Source organism: Homo sapiens, chromosome 1, assembly GCF_000001405.40.
Source record: "Homo sapiens chromosome 1, GRCh38.p14 Primary Assembly".
NCBI lineage: Eukaryota > Metazoa > Chordata > Mammalia > Primates > Hominidae > Homo > Homo sapiens.
The window spans coordinates 201,399,887-201,421,730 of NC_000001.11; the positions used below are offsets into that span (position 1 = coordinate 201,399,887).

General features: G+C 51.6%; 1 protein-coding gene and 1 long non-coding RNA gene across 2 annotated transcripts in view, besides 2 other annotated features; one reads left to right on the forward strand and one right to left on the reverse strand.

Annotated features, from left to right (window-relative positions):
* The window catches only part of LOC101929343 (uncharacterized), a 6,879-nt gene extending 396 nt beyond the window's left edge, over positions 1-6,483 (forward strand). Inside the window, exon 2 of the long non-coding RNA XR_241172.3 lies at positions 907-6,483. This is a non-coding gene — a long non-coding RNA (uncharacterized LOC101929343). The remainder of the gene's footprint in view (positions 1-906) is intronic.
* TNNI1 (troponin I1, slow skeletal type) lies at positions 3,898-21,844 on the reverse strand. The gene is made up of 9 exons (NM_003281.4): positions 21,787-21,844; positions 17,897-17,926; positions 17,230-17,233; positions 15,327-15,368; positions 14,632-14,763; positions 13,146-13,235; positions 11,471-11,647; positions 10,440-10,549; positions 3,898-9,364 (listed from the first exon to the last, which is right to left on the reverse strand). Exons 2-8 carry the CDS (start codon positions 17,905-17,907, stop codon positions 10,442-10,444), a joined length of 564 nt encoding a protein of 187 aa, NP_003272.3. The 5' UTR covers positions 17,908-17,926; positions 21,787-21,844; the 3' UTR covers positions 3,898-9,364; positions 10,440-10,441.
* Positions 4,373-4,422: an enhancer, noted in NCBI's record as "active region_2312". NCBI's record gives its function as "activates an Ori minimal core promoter by ATAC-STARR-seq in GM12878 lymphoblastoid cells {active_cell/tissue: GM12878}" and the evidence as "EXISTENCE:reporter gene assay evidence [ECO:0000049][PMID:35858748]".
* Positions 8,386-8,465: an enhancer, noted in NCBI's record as "active region_2313". NCBI's record gives its function as "activates an Ori minimal core promoter by ATAC-STARR-seq in GM12878 lymphoblastoid cells {active_cell/tissue: GM12878}" and the evidence as "EXISTENCE:reporter gene assay evidence [ECO:0000049][PMID:35858748]".

The following is a 21,844-nucleotide window of genomic DNA, read 5'->3' on the forward strand; positions in this document are numbered from 1 at the left end:
CCGTCCCAGTAGGCCTCGCTGAGATGAATGAGGCATTGCTTTCTGAGCTGCACACAAAACATGCCCCTGGTAGACCCAGCCCCACCCAAAGGGAGAATCTTAGACTCAATTCAGCAAACATTTGTGAAAGCACAAATATGTCAAAGGCACTGTCCTTGCTCCCTGATACTGGACTTTGGGCTAGAGTGGCAGGGTGTATAATAAGGGCAGAGGAAGCTCAGTTTTTCTTCCCCAAGGAAAGATTAAACACAGATATCTAGGACTCGAATTTTGGAGCACCGTGAGACAGCTCAGGCACCCCTGACACCACCTGGCTCCCTTTAGGTGCCCATCTGGGCTGGTGCGGGGCCAGGTGCTTTCTATCCAGGAACCAGCCTCAGGTGGGCTTGGGCTAAGAGAGGGTCAGGCGTTGAGCATGGGGAATCTTATCTTCCCTGATGGATCTGAACTGCAGGGTCAGCGCACAGTTGCTGTTCCTGCCCTGAGAGGAAGGAGGCACAGCCCCAGCGCCAGGATGAGAATATCAAAAGGGAGCCTGAGCCAGAGCCAGAACTGCCCTCATGCTCCTGGGCCTCGCTGCCCAGCCTCAGCCTCTCTTTGGTGCTCATGTCAGGCCTTCCAGCTCTGAGATCTCACGGCAAAGGGCAAGCTAGCTGCCGGGCAGAAGCCTGGAAACACAGACACAGCCAGCCTGTTGAGATTCCCCCTCCCGAAGTACCCCCTCCTCCAGGGAGCCTTCCTTCTTGGCAAGGGTGGGACGAGGTCCAGGACATGAGAACTGGACTGGTAACTTGCACACTTGAGCTCTGATTCTGACATTTGTGAACTGTGTGACTTGGGACAAACTCCTTCAGTTTCCTTATCTGTGGAGTGGATGTTACGATACCTTGCTCTGCTTCCTTCCAGGTTGTGGAAATCATATGAGTTCCCTGCTAGTGACATTGGAGTGCACAGATGAATATCGACAAGGCTCCAGGGAGTTCTGAACAGAGGCCAAGGCAGGCCCTGGAGCTGTATGCTGCTTACAGGAAAAGAGAAAGAGGGGACCCCAATAGTCTAGGTCCCTGGATCCTCTGACCCGGGGCCTGACACTGTCAGGGAAGCTGCTGTCTCCCTAGGGACCTACTGAATGTTCTTCCCATGGCTGGTCAGTGCTGACACCTCAACACAGGAAGAGAAATACTCCTATGAAGTCATCTGAAGCCTGGTCATGCCAGGGACACTTCACGAAGGCAGGAACAGTCCTGTTTCTAAAAGCCCAAAATCTAACAGCCTCTCTACAGATATAAAAGCCCAAAGACATGGAAAGTTTGTATGCAGACAACCCTAGAAGTAAGGAAAAGTGAATGACATATATGTCAATGCCCAGAAAGTTCCTTGAGATCAGACACTGTACATTTATGGGATACTTTCTAAGTGCCAGCTACTGTACTTGGTGCTGGATCAGTGCATCCATTTCCCGGGGCTCCCGTGATGAAGTGCCACAAACTGGATGGCTTTAAACAACAGAAGTTTACTCTCTCACAGTTCTGAAGGTTAGAAGTCTGCCATGAAGATGTGAGCACAGCCAGCCTCTCTCCAAAGGCTCCAGAGGAGAATCCTTCCTTGCTTCTTCCCAGAGCTCCTTGGCATACAGCTGCATTACTCCAAGATTTGCCTCTCTTGTCACACAGCATTCTGCCTGTGTCTCTTGTTTGTGTTCAAGTATCCCTCCACCCTAATTTAGTATGACCTCATTTTAGCTTGATTATGCCTGCAAATACCCTATTTCCAAATGAGGTCACATTCACAGGTACCAGAAGTTATGAATTGAACACATCTTTTTTGGGATGTGTTCTACCCATTATAATTCATTCTACCCACTATAATCACAAGTGGCTTTGACATTCAGTGACACAAAGATGATAAGGACTCGGTTCCTGACCTCAGGACATTCTCAGTCTATCAGTGAAGACAAACACATGCTGGTGAACACACACACATACACAAGCACACATATACCCCGAGCCTCATTCAAGTCAGACTGTGATTAAAAATGGAAATTGTGTCATCAGGAGGGATTGGGGAAGTCTTCACACAAGAAAGAACATCTAAGTTGGGCCTTGAAGGGTAAGTGGAATTCAACTGTCAGAAAGGGTGTAAGGGCATCCAGCTATAGGACACAGCATAAACAAAGACATTGGGACATAAACATGAAAGGTGTGTGTGGAACAGAGAGAAGACTAGTCTGCGTGAAGCATTGAGCCCCTTCCAAGGCTGAAAAGAAAGGTTGGAGACAGGTAGTAAGGACTTTGTGTGTTGTGCTAAAGAGTCAGTCAGCCTTGGCCGGTTATGGAGACTCACACGTGTAATCCCAGCATTTTAGGAGGCTGAGGCGGGCAGATCACTTGAGGTCAGGAGTTCAAGACCAGCCTGGGCAACATGGCAAAACCCCATCTCTACTAAAAATACAAAAAATGAGCTGGGCGTGGTGGCACACATCTGTAATCCCAGCTATTTGGGAGGCTGAGGCAAAAGAATCACTTGAACCTAGGAGGCAGAGATTGCAGTGTGCCAAGATCACACCACTGAACTGCACTGCACTCCAGCCTTGGCAACAGAGCAAGACTCTGTCTCAAAAAAAAAAAAAAGCCTTTATCCTGTAGAATTAAGTTGAATATAGAAAATGAGAAGGGTTTGGAGGCAGTGTGGCAAGAGATCACACTGGAAGGGAGACAGCTTAGGGGGCTATTTTTTATAGTCAACAAAAGAAATGAAGGCCCTGAGCAAGGGCACCAGGAGGATGGGGAGGAGAAGGTGTTGGCAGGAGTTTTGGAAGGCTGGATGGCCAGGACTGAGTTGATTGACTACGGCTTGTGAGGGAGGAGAAATCTAGGTGACTCCCATCTCCCTGCTGGAGGGACTGGGTGAATGAGATGCCATTGATGAGACAGGGATGTGAGAGCAGGAGATCTAGGGAGGGGTGACTTTAGACCACCGAGGGTTTCTCAGCCTCAGCATTATGGCCATTTCAGCCTGATAATTCCTTGTCGGGGGCTGTCTGTGCATTGTGAGATGGTCACCAGCATCCTTGGCCTCTACTCATTTGAATTTAACATCCCTGAAGACAGCCGGATGGAGCTGCCCAATAGATGGTTGGGTGTTGGAGCGGGGGAGCTCAGGAGACAGCTTTGCATTGTGTTTTCCATAGCATGCAAGGGCCCTTGCTGAGTAGGAAGGAGGAGGGAATGACTCCTTGTGAGCAGCGAGGTTGGAGTTCAAGTTATCTGTGCCCATGCCCTGGCTCCCCAAGCATCTTGTGGGTGCCTTGAGAAGAAAAAGAATGTCTTATTTGCCTCAGTATCCCCTCAATACTATGCCTGGCAGAGTTGGTGCTTAATAAAGGTTTAGAGAATTGCACTAACTTGATTTGGAAAGAACAGGAAAACCCAAATAGCCTGAGAGCCCCTGCCAAGAGTAACATTTGGAAGCTGAGTCAGGAAGAAGCTGAGATCAGGTGAGGTTAAGTATCCAGGATCTCTGGTCTCCAGGATCTGCCAAAACCAGGATGTGGAGCATCAGCAACTGTCATAGTTGTTGATGGGAGTGTAAGTGGTACAACTAGCAAAGGTGGGGATGTCATTCTTGTCGACCCAACAGTTGCACTCCTGGGTAGAGAAGCTCTTGAACATGAGCATCAGAAGTGAGACTCATGAATATTCAAATCAGCACAATTGGTAGTGGCAGAGATCTAAATGTCTATCAGCAGGAAAGGGAATGAATGGTGTTTTCATCATTTCATCATTTCATGGCAGTGAAAATGAATGAACTACAATTATCAATAGGGATGAATTTACAACCTTAACATTGAAGGGGAAAAAGCAAAATGCATGCACTTAAGTAAGGTTTACAAAAAGATCCAAAACTGAATGATGTATTAGGAATTCATAAATACGTAGTAACATTATGAAGAGAACCAAGAGAATAACAAACACAAAATTGAGGATTGTATTTACCTTTGTGGAGAGGAAGGGGTTGTGATTGGGGAGGGACGCATAAGGGCTTCAAAAGTATGTGCCATATCCTAGTTCTTAAAATGAGTGGTTGGCAGATGGGTGTTCACTTTACGATTCTTTATACGTACATTAAAAACGTATGCGTGTCCTGGTTACTTCCTCCAGGGACATTCCACCAGGCAGGGCTTAGCACAACTGGGAATTCCCTGGTCAAAGTCAGGGAATTTCAAGATTTTTCAGCCAGTGGTTGGGCAAGGGGTCATCTCTCTCGTCCCCTCCCTCGAGGTTCTGAGGAGCCTCAGAACAGACGTTCAACCTCTGGAATCCCCCAGAAAAAAGACTCATAGGGCAGCTTCCCCTTTCTCGGACAGGACAGAGTGGAGATCCAGGGGGATCCCCAGCCCCAACCAGCTGGCTCGAGGTCACATCCTGATATTTCAGTTCTGTTCCCATTCATGTGTCTCAGCTGAGCAACTGCCATGCTTGTGGCACTCTTAGGGGAAGGGAAGAAATGAATGAGGTGATAAGACCCACGCCCTAAAGAATCCAGGGCAGTAAGCTCCCTGGCTTTCGGTTTTTACAAACTAATAATATTGTGTAATATAAATACTGACATTGTGCTGCCACCATTTTATTTTGTGAAGTAAGAGCATTAGAAAACAATTGCCACCTACTGTCCTCCTATTCCATAAGTAAGGGCTAATTTAATACTCCAGTAATAAAACAAAGGCATGCATGCTTTTAGATCAGAGGAAGGTCGTTTCCACTGAATACATTTAGCTTTATGAAAATCTCACTACATTTGTGGCCCTGGTTTCCTCCTTGTGGGGTGGAGCAGTTGAAATTTAGGTCACAAAGAGCCAGTCAGGAGAAGAGCATCTGGGAGGCACTAGTACAGGGGACACACAGGTGTCTGTGACACTCAGGGCGGGCAGACAGGTCATCACCCTGCATTCTGCATGCCCACGCATACACACCATGCTCACCCCTTCTGATGAACAGGCACAAGCGTTCACACACACGCTCCTCCCCCAGGGGCTCCCAGGTTGGAACACCTCCCCTGACTGCCAGGCAAAGCCATACCTCTCTCCTGAACCCAGGGCAAAGGGCCAGGCTCACCCAGCCTGTGCCAACCAGTGAGAGAGGCCAATGGTTGGCACTGGAGCCAGTTGGGGTGCTGAGTTGAGGCCAGAGATGGGCAGCCTGTTCAGATCCCTGGGCGTTTGCCTCTGGCCAGGAGACCAAAGCCCTGTCCACATCCAATTTCCTCAGACTGGGAGTCTGGGGACCTACTTCCTAGCTCCAGTTAGGTTTGTGACCTTGAGCAAGTCACCCTCCCTCTCTGGTCCTTCGGACATTGACCGCAGTGCTCTGGGCCAGTGCTATGGGGTTTTCGAGGCTCACCCTGCTCAGCCTTCGTCTCAGGGGACCCACAAGCCAGCCTAGAAGTGTGTCTTGGAAGGAAGAGAAAACCCTTGCCCGTCACCTTTAATGAAAGACCCACAGGCAGACAAGCTTTGGGGATGTCTGAGGAAAGAGACCTGATGGGGGTCAGGAGCAGAAGCTGCCATTAGCACTGGTCCCAGCGAACTGTCCTGGGCTTCCGCAGCTTGGTCACCCACCTGGAACGAAGCTAACCCCCCCGCCCCCGGCTGCCCAGCCCAGAGACTTGTGGGGAGTATGACTCACTTCGCGGGGGGCCATTGTGGCTAATGTTTAACTCTGCCCCTCCTTCAGCAAGGCACTTTAGCCCCAGCAGCCCTTAGCGCTGGGCCCTGCCCTGATCATGCCTGCTGCTGAGTGGGCTCAGACACACAGCTGAGCTTGGCCTCCTTGCGCCGTGGGGACCGGGCACCCTGTGGGGAAAGGTGGGAGCAACAGCTGGTCTCCCAAGGGCTCTGGGACAGGCAAGAGTGTAGCAGGTGGCATCCTGCCCTGGTCATTCCTACCAAGCAGAGAGGAGCACCAGGCCCATCTCCACCAGCTGCAGAGAGAGGGGGTGCCCACCCAGCTATTGTGTGCTGATTAGTAATAGATATCCCCCAAGTAGCACCCTATCCCTCCACTCTCAGCCAGGGCCCCATGTTGGAGGAAGGCCTCACCTTAGCCCATCTGTATGTCACCTGCATCTCCTTTGAATGTTTCCCCTTTGGTGCGGGTGTGTGGGGACTCCCCAGGTGCATATGCAGGACCCTCGACCCCCAGCTGTGTCCTTCCAAGAAAGTTGGGCTCTGTTAAGGCCAGTCTGATCTCAGAAAAGGGCAACCCCAAGGCAGAGTGACCTGAGATCTAGTCTCCAGTCTGCAGCTAGCAAACCCTGTAACTTAGAGTGAGCTACTTGAACTCTCCAGGCCTCCATTTCCTCATCTGTAAATTTGAGCTAACAAATGTACCATTTTTGTGAGAATGCAATGATATAACTCAGATAAAGCATTTAACATCACATATTACTATTATTGAAATGCTGTTATTAAAATAGTCGATAAGAGTATGGATTCTAACAGACTTCTTGGGTTGAATCCTGGGACCACCACTTATTAGCTGTGTGATCATGAAAAGTCCCTAACCTCTCTGTGCCTCAGTTTTCCCCACTGTACCATGAGAATAGTAGCTGTACCTTTCTCCTAGGGTTGTTGTGAAAGTTAAATAAATTAAGGTGTACATGCTGGTGCCTGACGCATAAGTGTGCTACATGTGTGAGCTGTTACTCAGTGGCAGGCCCCAGCTCCCAGCTCTACTGGTGTTGTCTCCATGGTGAGAGAAGACTGGAGTAGAATCAGGGCTCTCCAGAGGCCAGGCCCCCAGCCCAGGCCCCATTCTTGGCTACAACAGCCCCTTCCATAGATCCCTCTCCCACCCCCAAGCTCTCCTTCCCCTTGTCCACAGGGCCTCTCAATCCTTGCGCTCCAGATATGTCTATGCCTATATTCGCCCTTGCTCCATCCTCACAGGAGATGAATTAGGTCTGTTGCTGCCTGGAAGCAGAAGGAGGAACCCGATGACCTCCAGGAACCCTCTGGTTGGCTCTTCTGCCCCTCCTAGAGGGCCACTGGCTTAGGTGTGTTGAGTGGGCCCCACCTCCTCCTCCCATGGGTCTTCTGCACCCACGTGTTTGCTTTGAGTCAGGCCCAGAGCAGGTCTCCTGCCTTTACATGACTGGGTGGATACCCCAATCTGCCAGGGCCCCAGGTTAATAGTTGACTGCAAAACTGGGATTTGACTCTGGAACTTGGGGCCAGGCTCTAGGGAAGAGCTGGAAAGAGGTGAAACAAGGAGATCGCTTTGGATCCAGGCCAACCGGAGGAGCCCTGTGAGGCGGGGAAGAGTGGGTTTCTGTGGCTGCCTGGGCATGAAGGCATGAAGCCTAACCCCATCCTCTGTGGCCTGGACCAGCCCTGTCAGGTTCTCCAACTTCGTGCATTGAGACTGGGTGTGTCCGTGCCTACGGGTTTCTGTGTGTGATTGGGGTTGTGCTTTTTGCACACATCTGCCTCTCTGCCCACTGACCTATTTATAGCAAGAACCCTGGGCAGAGTGCTGCTTCCCCTAAGGTAGCCCAAGTTGCTGGTTCCCACTGCCATGCTTTCTGAAAGGGGCTGGCAGCCCAGCAGCCCAGAGAGCCAGACCATGCCCTGGGGAGCAGCTGGCACTGCACTTTGTACCAATTTCTGGCACTTATGGAAGATAATACATGGGATTCGAAGGTAGAATGGGGACTCAGTAGGGTGGGTAGAAGGGTTGCTGCTCTGATAACTCAGCCCCTCCTAGGGCCAGTGCTAGGGTGGTCGAAAAGCCAAGGGACCCCAGGTCTGGGAACAGCCACTTCCCTTGCAGGCTTAGCTCAGAAGTCACCATCCCACTGCCCTGAAAAGTCAGAACTTGACCGGATGTGGTCGCTCACACCTGTAATCCCAGAACTTTGGGAGGCCGAGGTGGGCAGATTACGAGGTCAGGAGTTCGAGACCAGCCTGACCAACATGGTGAAACCCTGTCTCTACTAAAAATACAAAAATTAGCGGGGTGTGGTGGCACGCACCTGTAATCCCAGCTACTCAGGAGGTTGAAGCAGGAGAATCGCTTGAACCTGGGAGGCGGAGGTTGCAGTGAGTCGAGATCGCGTCACTGCACTCCAGCCTGGGTGACACAGCGAGACTCCATCTCAAAAAAAAAAAAAAAAGGAAAAAGAAAAGTCAGAACTTTGGTCTCTGCTTCACAGGAGCCACTCTAGTGAGTATGTTGGGGGAAGAGAGGCTGCCCCAGACCCCCCTTCCACCCCAGAAGGCCCTATGCTCTCACCAGGCTTTGGACCCAGGAGGTAGTGGGATGGAGAAAGGACCTGATCCAGAGGACAGATAAGTGGCCACCCCATCTCCGGGAAAGAATCAGTCCTGGGGGATAGGACCAGTGCAGGAGTGTGAAGGGGAAACAATTGGGAGGAGGGTGGGTGAACGTGGGGAGAGCAGAGGCCGGAGGGACAGGAGAGCCCAGGAGAGAAGGAAGGCGTCACCTGGTGGCCAGGCCTGGAACTGCAAGTATCTCTTCTGTGAGGCCTCCTGCCCTGTGCAGCAGGACTAGGTGAGGGATTGAAAGTGCCCTGACCTCTCAACCCAGCACACATCAGGGAGAGTTAATCCAGGTTTGCAGAGGAAGGAGAGTATGAAAGCCGGCAGGAGAAGCGGCTCTTAATGGAGAGGCCTCTTCTGATGGCCAGAGTCAGGGGCAGGACGGGGTCATTTCTCGGAGGTCAGGGCTCTGGTGAGCTGAGCATCCTGGGTGGTGAGTGTGTGCAGTGTGACGTCACAGGGACTGGGCAGAAGGGGCCCCAGGGGACCCTGGCAAGCAGCCACCAATTCCTTAGCCCTCCCTTCAGATCCCGAGCTCCGGACTGCAGACAGGGTGACTGGAGCCCAGCACAGCCCTCTCTTCCCAAGCCCCAAGTCTTCCCTTTCTTCTCAGGGCTCACAGTCAGAGCTGCAGAAATGACCAGGAAACTGGGTTTTTAATGAAGAAGGTGTGATGCCTGTGGACACTGTACACACATAGAAGGAGTGTGGCACAGGGCTGGAGGAAAGGTGTTCTCACCCCCTCCTCCTCCTCCACTTGTTACACCACGGGGTGGCTGAGAAGCCCCAGGTGCCTCATGGGTGGATAGAAGCCCACCCTGCCAGGGTGAGGTCTTCAGACACTCGCGTTTTTCCTGCCTCTTGGGTATCTGTTTAATCCCAGTTCCAGAGGAGGGCATGCAGGCTGGAGGGAAGAAGTGGGGGAGAGGTGGGAAGGGATGCTCCAGACACAGGCAGAGAGGTGAGTGAGCTGGGTTGGAGAAGAAGCATGAAGCAGGAGCTCAGAGCGCAGCACAGCAAGCTGGCCTGTAGGGACAAAGAGGCAAAGCCATCAGTTCCCGGGGACCTGTGTGCAGCGCATGAATCCCTGACTTACCTACAGCACATGCAGTCCCCAGGGCTTCTCAGCCCTAGCGCACCCCGGACTGGATCTTCATTCATAAGGGCTCCTACAAAACCTCAGCTTCTCGGCCCTCGGGCACAGTTGCTCCCCTTTTGGGACCCCTCACACCGCTCCTCCACACTGCGGCCCTCAGCTCTTACCTAGCCTTGCCATGCTACTCTGTGGCTGCTTAATTCCCACCTCCATGCTTCTGTTGCACCATCAGCCCTTCAACATGCCCTTCCCTTTATCAGCTAACACTCGCTCGTCGCATCCTCAGAGAGCTCCTCCTCTCCAGAAAGCCTGCTCTGACCAGTGCTGTCTGGTGGATGCCTGCCCTATTGCACATTCTCTCAGCACTTCCGTAGAGGGTTTTACGTGGCCTGATTTCCTTGCTTTGCCCAGTTTCTCCAGCTATTTCCTCAGATGGTGGGAAGTCTTAGCTTCTGTGAGTGGTAGCTCCTTGGGAACAGGTACTGTGAGTGCTGGGTACTTCGCAGGGAGCACAAATAAAGGACATCACCAGGAGGTATTTAAAAGTGCATAGATTCTCAGAAAGTCAGAGATGAAGGGATCCCAGGGACCCTCTAACCTAGTGGTTCTCAAACTCTCATGTGCATCAGAATCACCTAGAAGGCTGGCCTCACCCCAGAGTTTCCAATTTAGTGGATCTGGGGTGGGGGCTGATCATTTGCATCCCAGGTGATGTAGACGCTGCTGGTCCCAGGACCACACTTGGAGAACCACTGATTTGATACAGCCCCCAATTTCATAGATAATGGGAACAAAAAGGGCCGCCAAACAGAAATGACATGCCCAAGTATCATGGTGCTGGAGCCAGGACTGAGCCCAGGAGAGCCGACTCAAATCAGTCTCATCGGTGCCTTAGTCCGTGCATCCGTGCACCACACTAAGTACAACCCGCCTGCCCATTGTGGACTCCCTCATTATCCTCTAGACTCTGATGGACCCCAGAGAAGGGAGCTGGTCTCTAGGTACCTCTATTGTGAGGTCGGAGACTTGGCGGCATCAAACATCTTCTTCCGGCCTTCCATGCCAGACATGGCCTCCACGTTCTTCCTCCAGTCACCCACCTCCACAGGCCGCTCCTGTAGACAAGTGGCACACACATCAGGGACTTACCAGGCTGGACGGCCCCCCAGCTCAAGAGAAGCTGGGTGATAGGAAACCAGTCTCCTCGGATGATAAGAAATCCTGATGCCCCTCCCCAGCTGGTAAGGTCCTAGGACTCAGCCAGGCAGGTGGACACAGGCCAAGCCGAGGCCCCACAGGAAAAAGGAAGCTGTGTGGCTTGGGAGCACTGGGTGAAAGTGGCAGCTATGGGGCTAGTTCCCACCTCAGTGCACCTCAGCAAAACCTCCTCCAAGGCTCCATGCCACCCTCCTGGTCTGGCACTCAGCAGGCTCAAGGCCACCTCTTCCAAGAAGTCTTCCCCTGCAAATGCGGCTGCTTTTCCATTTCCTCAGTATATTGTCTGGCTTATCTCTTCTCCTCTGAAGCTTCTTGGGCCAGAGACTGTTCCTTCATCCCTGTTCCTTACAGAGCCTATCAATTTGGGGCACATATACTGTGAATTCAACCAACTTTGAATAATTTGTTGCTGGGTGGTTGAACTCAGTTCTCTAATGTCTATGCTCGTGTGTGGCTATAACCAAGATGAGCTGCTGTCTCCTTTCCCTGTGGTGACCAGGCAGTCATCTCCACCATTACCCTAAATCTCCACATTATCTTCACACTGGGAACAAGATTTTTACTTCATTTCTCCGTCTGGGGTCTAGCTTTCTTTATGTCCTAGTTTCTTCGTCAGACTGGGAACAGCCTGAAGGAAGGGAGCAAATCTTCTTTCTTTCTTCCCACACTGGTCTCCCAAAGCATTCTAGAATGTTCTGTCTGTCAAGCTGACTGGTCTCCAACAGGAGCTCCTGGGCCAGCCTGAGGCCATGTGAGGGGTTGACAAGGGGAAAGCTGGTAGGGCAGAGGGTGGAATGTTCTGAGGAAAGGGACCTCACCTTCTCTGTGTCTTCCTTCTTCACAGACTTGAGGTTGGCCCGCAGATCCATGGACACCTTGTGCTTGGAGCCCAGCAGGGCCCGGAGCATGGCGTCAGCCGAGACACGGACTCGACGCAGGGGCGGGCGCTTGAACTTCCCACGGAGGTCCATCACCTTCAGCTTCAGGTCCTTAATCTGTAGGTGAGAAGCGCCCGGGGCTCACTGGAGAGGCAGCTAGCCACAGGACACCCTTCCTGAGGACCTCAGACTGCTAGGGTTCCAGCCAGAGATACACCTTAAATTGTCCACCCTTGAAGCCAGACCTATCAGCAGTCACCAACCTTTTTGTCACCAGGGACCGGTTTTGTGGAAGACACTTTTTCCACGGAGAGGTGGTGGGGTGGTTTCAGGATGAAACTGTTCCACCTCAGACCATCAGGCATGAGTTTGATTCTCATAAGGAGCGTGCAACCTAGATCCCTCACATGCACAGTTCACAATAGGGTTCACACTCCTGTGAGAATCTAATGCCGCCGCTGATCTGACAGGAGGCAGAGCTCAGGCGGGAATGCTCATTTGCCCACTGCTCACCTGCTGCAGTGTGGCCCAGTTCCTAACAGGCCACGGACAGGTACTGGTCCACAGCCCAAGAGTTGGAGATCCCTGCTCTAGGACAGTCAGACCCACCCATCCCTTTGCAAATAACCACTGCACATTTGCTGATAAACGGATGGTTAAGTGGACAGATAAAGCCTATTAGCCGTTGCTAACACTATAGCCTTGAATAAAAGGGGCGGCTCCACCAGACTGAGACTTGTCTGATTTGGAAGCCCTATTTGGAGTGCAGGGCTGCTTCCTCTTGTTCCTGCAGCCTCATCCCTGCTTCTAACTTATTCCTCCCCAGTGAGCCTTCAAAGCAGCTCACAGCCTTGGTCCAGCAGGGTGATAAACTTACAGGTCCTAGACCCCTGGAGGAATTCCCAGGGTGTGATCTCTAGGGGGAGTTCTTAGGAGCTTGGTGACCCCACATATAATTCCTGGTGGGCAGAAGTGGGAAGGAGAGAAGTGGCTTGTGCTCCCTCCCTGCCCCCTCCTCACTGCCTGGACAAATGCCCCAAAGGAGCCCTGTCCTTCTCTGCTCTGCCCCTCCCCACTGGAGCAGGGTCTGGGTGGAGCTAATCCTCCCACACCCCATGCTAAGGGAGCACAGAGCACCGGAGTGGAAGCCAGAGACCAGCACTGGTCCCAGGACCACCACTGTGCAACCTAGGACAAGTCTTTGGCCTCTCTGATCCTGAGTGTTCTCCTCTGCAAGGTGCAGATAATAGCCCCTACTTCATCCACAGGCCTATAAGGAGGATCAAAGGCTATAACGAACATGAAAGCACTTCACAAAGGTAAGACGTTATTAACAGGCATATGATTATTTGTGTGGGTGGATAAAGAGAGCAGCTTCTGTTAGGCTGATGAGCCCACATGGCAGGTAGGGAGGAAGTTTGTACTTTTCATGTGTGATTATCCACTCTACCCATCTCCAGCCCTATGGGGCTAGGGCAGACAAACCAAAGTTTCCTGCTTAAGTGGCCCCTTCCTAGGCCCTGTGGAAGGAGGGGACCTCCCATGGCTGCTGCATCCGTGCCCATGCCCCTGCCCAACCCATTATGGCCATGCCCCTTCCCTTCCTTAGACTCACCTCCCTGGTGTTGTGGAGGCATTTGGCCTCAATGTCGTATCGCTCCTCATCCACCACCTCCACCTTGGCGTGCAGCTCCCGGCACAGGTCCTGGGGGCCGCAGATGGATCATGCAGGTGTGAAGAAGAGGGGAACAGAGACATCAGTTTCCAGCCCTTGACCCTCTCCCCAGCCCCTTTGCAAGACCTGGGATCCAGAGAGGAGCTGACAGTCTCCTCCACTCTGAGGCTCATGACGGGCAATAGCTCAAAGGGTATGCCCTCTGTTCTCCTGTCTGAATGTCATGATTTCTTAAAAAATAGTATTCCTTCGCTTGAACCCAGGAGGCGGAGGTTGCAGTGAGCTGAGATCACACCACTGCACTCCAGCCTGGTGACAGAGCGAGACTCCGTCTCAAAAAAACAAACAAACAAACAAAAAACTAGTATCCTTGGCTGGGCACGGTGGCTCATCCCTGTAATCCCAGCACTTTGGGAGGCCAAGGTGGGGGATCACCTGAGGTCAGGAGTTCAAGACCAGCCTGACCAATGTGGTGAAACCCTGTCTCTACTAAAAATACAAAAATTAGCCAGGCATGGTGGTGTGCACCTGTAGTCCTAGCTACTTAGTAGATTGAGACAGGAGAATCACTTGAATCTGGGACACAGAGGTTGCAGTGAGCCAAGATCACGCCACTGCACTCCAGCCTGGGCAACAGAATGAGACTCTGCCTCAAAAAAAAAAAAGTATTCTTTCATCATGGCTCATTGCAGCCTCAACCTCCTGGGCTCAAGTGACCCTCCCATCTCATTTTTTTAAACTTTGTATAAAGAAAAGGTCTCACACTATGTTGCCCAGGCTGGTCTCGAACTCCTGGGTTCAAGTAATCCTCCTGCCTCCGCCTTTCAAAATGCTGGGATTACAGGCATGAGCCACTGTGCCCAGCAAAATAAAATAGTTTTCTTATGATAAAAGTAATGCGTTAATTTTAGACATTTTGAAAACTATGTATTAAACAAAAATAATAAAAATTAAAATACCTAGTGATGCCACCACCCAGGGATACTTAGTAACATTTTGATATACTTCCTTCCAGTCTCTTTTCTCTATAATCACTGGCATTTAACCAATTTACCAGTGTTCTGAAAACATTGAAGACCAAATTCTAGGAAAGGGTAGACAAGTCCTTGGAAAAGTGGGGCTTCTCCCAACCCCGGCCGCCTCCCCACTCCATGCCACCACACTGGCTGATTGTGAAGCTGGGCCGCCCAGCCCAGGCAAGTCACGCCTCCCCTCTGATGCTCAGTTCAGTGCCCGTAAAATGGAATCTAATGTTCCCACCTCACAGGTGGTTGTGAAGATTAAATGAGACCATGTAAGGGAGGAGTGCCCTGTAAATTATGGAGCCTTGAGCTGGTGTTAGTTCAGGCTCCTGCCGCCTGGTCCTTGGAGCCACCCACACAGCACCTCCAGCCCCACCCTGCCCCGCCCCACCTGCCAGGCTAACCTGCAGGGCACTGAGGGACAGGCCACGGGTCTGCAGCGTGGGGATGCGCTCTGCCAGGTAGCGCACCTTCTCAGCCTCGCGCTCCTCGTGCTCCTGCTCCCAGCATTCCTTGGCCTTGGCCAGCATCAGGCTCTGGACAGGACACACCTGCTGAGCTGGGGGCCTCACATCTCCCACCCGGCATCAGGGAATGAGGGGAGGGCAGCCACAGCCTGGGCCAACTCTGAGACCACTGTCCAGTGTAGAAGTGTATGCAGCAGCCATGGACAGGCCACCATGAGGGTACACCCAGTGGCTGCACACAATGTTCCTCAAGCCCTGGAACTTGTTTTCCCCGGACAGTCTTCCTCTTATCCACTTACTGTCTGTTTTGACCCACAAAACTCCAAAGAGAGAAACACATATGAAAATAAAGGAAGTCCCTCTGCCTGCATGAGTAGCTTCCCACTCTGAAGCTGGTCACCACCTACTCTAGGGACCACAGGCGGATGCCAGAATCCATACTCGAGGATCCCACCTACTGATCACCTGAGCCTGGCACTGGCTCCAGCAATGCTGGACTCCTGCCCCTCATCATCCTCACTCTGGCCTCCTTCCTTTCTCCTTGCCATAATCCTCCACATCCCTTCAGAGTCTGCTCTGCTGCCCCTCTGCCTCCCACTGGGCATCCCCCCACAGCCAGCCCCCAGCCTCACCTTCAGCAAGAGTTTGCGGGAGGCAGTGATCTTGGGTTTTCTCTGTGGGCAAGAAGAGAGAGAGACAGGTGGTGAGGCAGAGGCTGCAGAACTGGAATTCTGGTCTAGGACAAGACAAGTGCCAGCCAGCGTTCTCTATCTTTATCCGGAATCCTCTGCTCACCCTACGGTGCCTTAAAAGCTCATCTTTGTTATTTAACCTCTGCAGTTCAGAGAAGGCTGCAGTCAGCTACCTTGACCTAGGGGCTGAAGCCTTAACTTCCCACTCTGATTCTGCTGCTGCTGAAATCTTGTAAGATACTATGAGGGCCACATGGCTTCTACAGGCACCTCCTTCCTCATCTGTAAATAAGGATATTAGGACCCCCCCCCTTACTTAGTTCACAGAGTTATTGCAGATGAAATGAGATCATGGATGTGCAAATCCTTTGAAAATCGTAAAAGCTATGTGTTTTCACACTCCAGGTAGTAATACAGCAATACCTTGATGATCCGTCATGCTGCATAAATAAGCTGTGAATTTCCCAAATAAATGAAACGTATCTATGTAGACCTCAAAACTTTTAAAAATGTTAACACCACCCATACAAATCTTTCTAAGATATAAAACCACTGTTTTATCTTCTTATCAAAAATCCTAAACATGTTCTTGCTTACTAGTCCTAGCCCTGTGACAGTGGTCCCTCAGGGTTGGCAAAGGTGAGTAGTAGGGCTGCTTGGTCCCCAACTAATGAGACTGTGATGCCTTTCGAGCACTAGAGTATCTTCTGGGCCATAGGCGGTCACTTCTCATTGCCAGCAGGAAGCATCCTACCTAGACTTAATGTGCTGTGAGCCGGCAGAGCATGGCTCTCAAATGTTATTCCAGGGTGTCAAGTAGAAGTGATTAGGCTTTGAGAGGGAAGTTCTCATGAGAGACAATGGATGAGTTTCAGCAAATGGAATGTGTAACTTCTATTCTGACTGTTCAGAGTGGTTGGTTTGTCTTTTCCTCTCCTAAAGATTTTTGTTACATTTCAGATAAGTGCAATTTCAAAAGAAAGAGCCTATGACTCTAAGCATTACTACCATGGTTTACACACTGTAATGTACACATGGCAAATGTTTGACTGCGATCTTATTTCCCCACCACTTGGTGAGCCGATGGCCACCTCATTTGACCATCAGTCAGTGAGGACTCACTTTAATACGAGCCTCAGCAAAACTTAAAAATTCATATGAATGTTGAAAAGTAACATGTTCAATTCTTACTGAGAATCTCTGTGCCAAATATCCCCTCCATCAATACTGCTAATTCTCACTGTTTCCATCCCTGGGCCCACATCCCTATCCCTGCCATCCCCATCCTTGGACTGTACATAGGCTGTGATCTCAGTAGCCTGGTAAGTCTGGAGTGTATAGAATGGCCAGTGTCAGGGTTTTCTAACACCTGAGGGATTTAAGGACATCTCTTTGCTCCTCAATCAATGTTCAGCCATTGGGCAAGGGTGGAATAACCCAATGACTATCCCTTACCCTTCCAATATAGCTTTGCACAGGATCAGCTCTGCATGGAATAGGATGGTCCCCCCAGGACTGGACCAGCTCTCAGAGTGGGTGAGGAAGAGCTTGTGCTCAGCAAGGATGCAGAGTCACACCCAACCCTGCTGCAATACCAGTCCTTCCAGTGACATGGTACACTGGCACAGCAACTCCCTGGACACTAGGAAGCCCCACATCCAGAATCTTCACCTGACGTTTCCATCTCCTGGGAATTTGTTCAGCCACTAAATACCCTACACCCCCTGGACTCCCACCAGGCCTTAACACAGGCTCTTCCCTCTCCTCAGATGCCAACCCCACCTTCCCACTTTTACCAGTCGTTAGAGTTAACCAAGACAGAGATACCCCAAATATCACTTACCTCGCTTCAGGCATCCATCACAGGAAGGACGGGGAAAGAGCAGAACACAGAGTGAGTATGAACAATGAGGATTACATGTGCAGTCGCAGAACCTCACAGACCAGCTTGGGGGAGGAGGGGGCCAGTGACAACAGTGAGCCAGAAAGTCATCAGGCATCAGGCAAGGGGAGCGGTTTGAGGTTCCGGCAGAATAAAATAAAAATTCAACAGCCCTTTGAACTACGGGGCATTCTTATTGGGAGGTACTGGGCATCGTAAGTTGGGGACAAGTGGTGGAAGGGGAGGGAAGCCTTAGCGTAGGGTTCCAGCAACGTGAAAGCATCCATCCACGGGTGCGTGGGTAAATTCCCAAAGCTTTGTTCACCTACTGCACCAGTGTTAAGTGGTGGCCTGGTACATGCAATTCATGTGATAGATCAAGACAGGAAATCTCTGAGGCACAAGCCAAAAAGGCACTCCCAGGGCAACCTGGGAGTGAGTTCTGCTCAATGGCTGGGAGGACACAGGCAGCACAGGGGAAACCATCAAGTGCTGCCCCTGTTTGAGGACCTGGTCTCTTAGGGAAAAGCTTTGGGGGTTGAAAACATGGTGCCTCCACTGCGGGGCTGAAGTCTGTGGCAAAGGGACTTGCCTTCCTGGGGCCCCAGATGGCAGTGAGACTACTTACACTTCCGGCATGGTGGCAGTGAGACAGCACCTAGGGGGCACAGAGGAATCATTCATAAGGGAAAGTGGAAACCCCTGCCCCTGCCCAGCTGGGCCTTGGGAGCCCAGCCTAGGAGACAGAGTCAGAACACAAAAGGAAGAAATCAGACACATTGGATTCCAGCAGGTCAAGATGGGACAGGGTTGCAGGGCAGGGGTCAGCTAACTACAGCCCATAAGCCTGACCTGGCTCCCAGCCTGTTTTTGCTTAAAGAATTGTAAGCTTTTTTTTTTTTTTTTTTTTTAAGAATTTGCAACAGAAACCTTATGTGAGCTACAAAGCTATCTGGCCCTTTCCAGATAAAGCTTGCCAATCCCAGTGGAGAACAGAATGGAGTCCATAGGAAATATGTTTGGAAAGTGAGAGCAGCTGGGCGCAGTGGCTCATGCCTGTAATCCCAGCACTTTGGGAGGCCAAGGCGGGCAGTTCATGAGGTAAGGAGTTCAAGACCAGCCTGGCCAATATGGTCAAACCCCGTCTCTACTAATGATACAAAAATTAGCCAGCATGGTGGTGCACGCCTATAGTCCCAGCTACTCAGGAGGCTGAGGCAGAAGAATTGCTTGAACCCAGGAGGCGGAGGTTACAGTGAGCCGAGATCGCACCACTGCACTCCAGCCTGGGTAACAGAATGAGTCTCCTTCTCAAAAAAAAAAAAAAAAAAATAAGTGAGAGTGTAGCTCACTCATGAGGGCCTTGAAGGACAGGCTGAGTTTAGACTTTATCCTGTGGAATAAGGGTGGTCATTGAAGGGCTCAGAGAGAGGAAGGCCTAGAAAGTGAATGAGCAGAGTGGATGCTGGAAAACGGGTAGCTGCCACATGGCACAACTCCATCCACAGATGGCAATGCAACTGGCACCTCCAGGGTGGGGCAGTGGGAGGCCTTGAGTGGGAGAGAATAAGCCGCAAGGCAGGGCAAATCCCGTGTTCACCCTAGTCTGTCTTTCCCCTCTCTGGGTTGGTTTTCCTCTCTGCAAAATTAGGGGTTAAATCAGTGAGTTTCCTCTTGATGTTTATTATTAATAATAAGTAATTAAAATAATATTTAATTAATATTATTTGGTTGAATCCTTTGTCCTAACCAAATCTTACTTGGAAGTAAAATAAATTCAATCAGTAAAAGCAAAATGGCATTTTGCCTATCAGAAGGTGGAGGGTGGGAGGAGGGAGAGGATCAGGAAAAATAACTAATGGGTACGTCTCTCATACCTGAGTGATGAAATAATTGATACAACAAACCTCCATGACACATGTTTACCTGTGTAACGAACCCACACATCCTGCACATGTACCCCGAACTTAAAAAAAAGTCAAACAAACAAAAAGAGCCAAATGGCACTGGTTGAAGGGGGCTCCCATAGCAGCCCTCTGGTCTTCTGTGAGGACACTTGGCTGTGGAATACAATTTGAAGCCCCCTGACCAGGTGATCCTGGGGCCCAGGCCAAAGAGGGGGTCCGTGAGGCTGCAGAGGGAGATGTTCCAAAACCAGACATAATTCACCGTCTTGCCTGGGCCTGGACACAGGGCATTCCAATGCAGGGGAAGGGAGGAACTGTGCAAAAGCTCAGGGAAAGGAAGGGGACAGCTGAGGTGGAGAGCAGGTGTGCAGGGGCGCACAGGAGCCCTGAGCCAGGCTGTGAAATGAAGGATGGGAGAGCCTAGTGTGTGTGGAGTGGGCAGGCATGGAGCTCGGGGGCAGGAGTTTGGACTTGGTTCAAGAACCTTGTTGTGGGGTCTGGGAAGTGGGGAATTAAAAGACACTTGTAAAGTGCCTGCCAATAATTGTATCCCAGAGCCACCCCTTCCTCTGCCCTAATTCTCTCCTTTCCCTTTGTGCCCATGAAGCACTATCCCAACCCCAATGAACACAGCTTTGGCCACCTCCCCTGAATCTCCCAACGGGTCAGAAAGCCTTCTGGGCCTCCCTCCACCTCTGCCTCCGCCACCAGGGGAGGGTAAGGCTGGGGTGGAGGAGGTGGAGGTGTAGTGTGACCCCAGAGTCTCAGCTGTCATGCTGGGGCACAGAGGGAGGGGTATGGAGACAATCCATGAATTCCTGAGATGCTTGGCTGGTATTAGATTTTATGGGCAGCTGCTTATTCTTAGGGCTCTGCTTCTCCAAAGACACTGAGGAAGTCCAAAGGAAACACCAGCTGGCGAAGAGCCACCTCCAGGCCCATCTGTCCATCATCAGCCTCCAGGAATGCCAGTGTCCAGAGGGCACCAGGTCTGCGTCTGTCTCCCTGGGATGTGCCTTGTCCTTGGTGGGCATTTGGCAGTGATCATGCCTCCCTGTCTCCCTCAGAGATCCAACTGTCCCCATTGTGGGGCCCTACCTTCCAAGGCCGGTTTACACCTCCTGCCAAGCTCCGGGGCCTGCCCCCAGCCTGCCTCACTGACAAATGCCAGACCAAGGGGTCCCACGTCAGGCAAGAGGCCTCAGCCTGTGCTCTGACACCCCTCAGACGGGGGCCCTTGCCAGGCTCTGTGGAAGACAAGCGAGGACTGATAAGTCAGGATGAAGATAGCAGCCACTGGAAGGCTTGGAGAGCCAGGATTCCATCTCCTCTACAAGTAGCAAGCAAGGAGATAATGAGAAAATCCTCCCCCCGAGGGGGGGAGCAAAGAGTCTCTGGTGGTTGCCTCAGAGCTGGGCTTTCCCTTCCTTGAGGCTTTGCAGCGTGGAAGGGACTATCCGCTAGACTATGAGATTGAGTCTGTGTGTGTAAGTGTGTGTAAGTGACTGTGTGTGAGAGTGTGAGTGTGAGAGAGAGAGCGTGTATATGTAGGGGAAAGAACTGATCTCTTTGCACACCCAATGATCACGTCCACAAGTATCTAGTTAGGCTCATGTGCTTCCCCCTGCTCCCCGCCCCCTGACCTTGGACCCCCATTCAAGGGCATCCCTGTCTTCCTTGACTGACGGTTAACACTCCCAAGTGCATGGCGCTGGGCTGCCCCCATCTTGAGTTCTGAACAGCAAAGCCTAATCTCAGAGCTGCTGTGGGACTGTGACTCCCAAACCTGGTGGCAGGTGCTGCCTTCAGCCCCCACCTGAGTCAGGGACCGCCACACGGCCCCCTGCCCCAAGCCTTGGGTTACCCTGTAGATACTGCCCTGGCTTATGTGTTCACTGGCTCCTGTGCCCCAACCCAAAATGCCGCCACCATTGCCTTCCTCCAAGAGGACCCCCAGTATCTACTGCTGCTTCTCAGAGCCAGGAGCTCTGAGCAGGAGCAGTCAAGAGGGGTTGCCGGTCTGCCCTCCTCTGCTCTTGTGCTACACTACAGAGGGATAGGCAAAGGGAGCTAACAGCGTCGCTCAGAGACAAAGAACACAGAAGCAAGATGGTTTCCTTGGCCAGCAGGGAGCTCTGGCCCTGCCTTCTAGGCTCCCTGGGAGTCCTGCGCGTCAGGCACCCTCCTTCTCTTCCGCTGCAGGCATTGCTGACTTTGAGCACTCACCCTGGCTCTCTGATCCCAGGGCCACCCCTTCCCCTGGGTGCGCTCTCCCTCCCACACTCTGCTGGGCATCCTGTGTGAAAACATCATCCCTTAGGCTCTGCCCTGGGGCTCCTAAGGAACCTCACGGAAGATTCTGCTCCTTGCTCACAGCCTCCAAATGGCCAGGAAAAAGTTTCACCTCTCACAACAGTTTTGCAGGAGAGATGCCATTCTGTGGGACAAAATGCTGTGGGAGTATTTTAGGAATGTTCTACCAACAAACCAACTGCACAGGCAAGAAATGGTTTTCTCCAGCTCCAAGACCTCGCTTTCTCCTTAAACAAAAGCCCCAGGTTCTCTGCCTGGGATCAACCTACATCTGAAGTTCTGGGCTGCAGACGCTTACCTTGTTCAGTCCTCGTGGAGCTGGGCTGGCCTGTGCCTCGCCGTAGACTGCAGACTGT

Excerpts from the sequence above, each read along its gene's own strand:
- TNNI1 (NM_003281.4), bottom strand. Across the intron at positions 14,764-15,326 it reads CCCGCAAACTCTTGCTGAAG|AGCCTGATGCTGGCCAAGGC; the intron begins GTGAGGCTGGGG and ends TGTCCTGTCCAG. Across the intron at positions 11,648-13,145 it reads GCCTCCACAACACCAGGGAG|ATTAAGGACCTGAAGCTGAA; the intron begins GTGAGTCTAAGG and ends TCTCACCTACAG.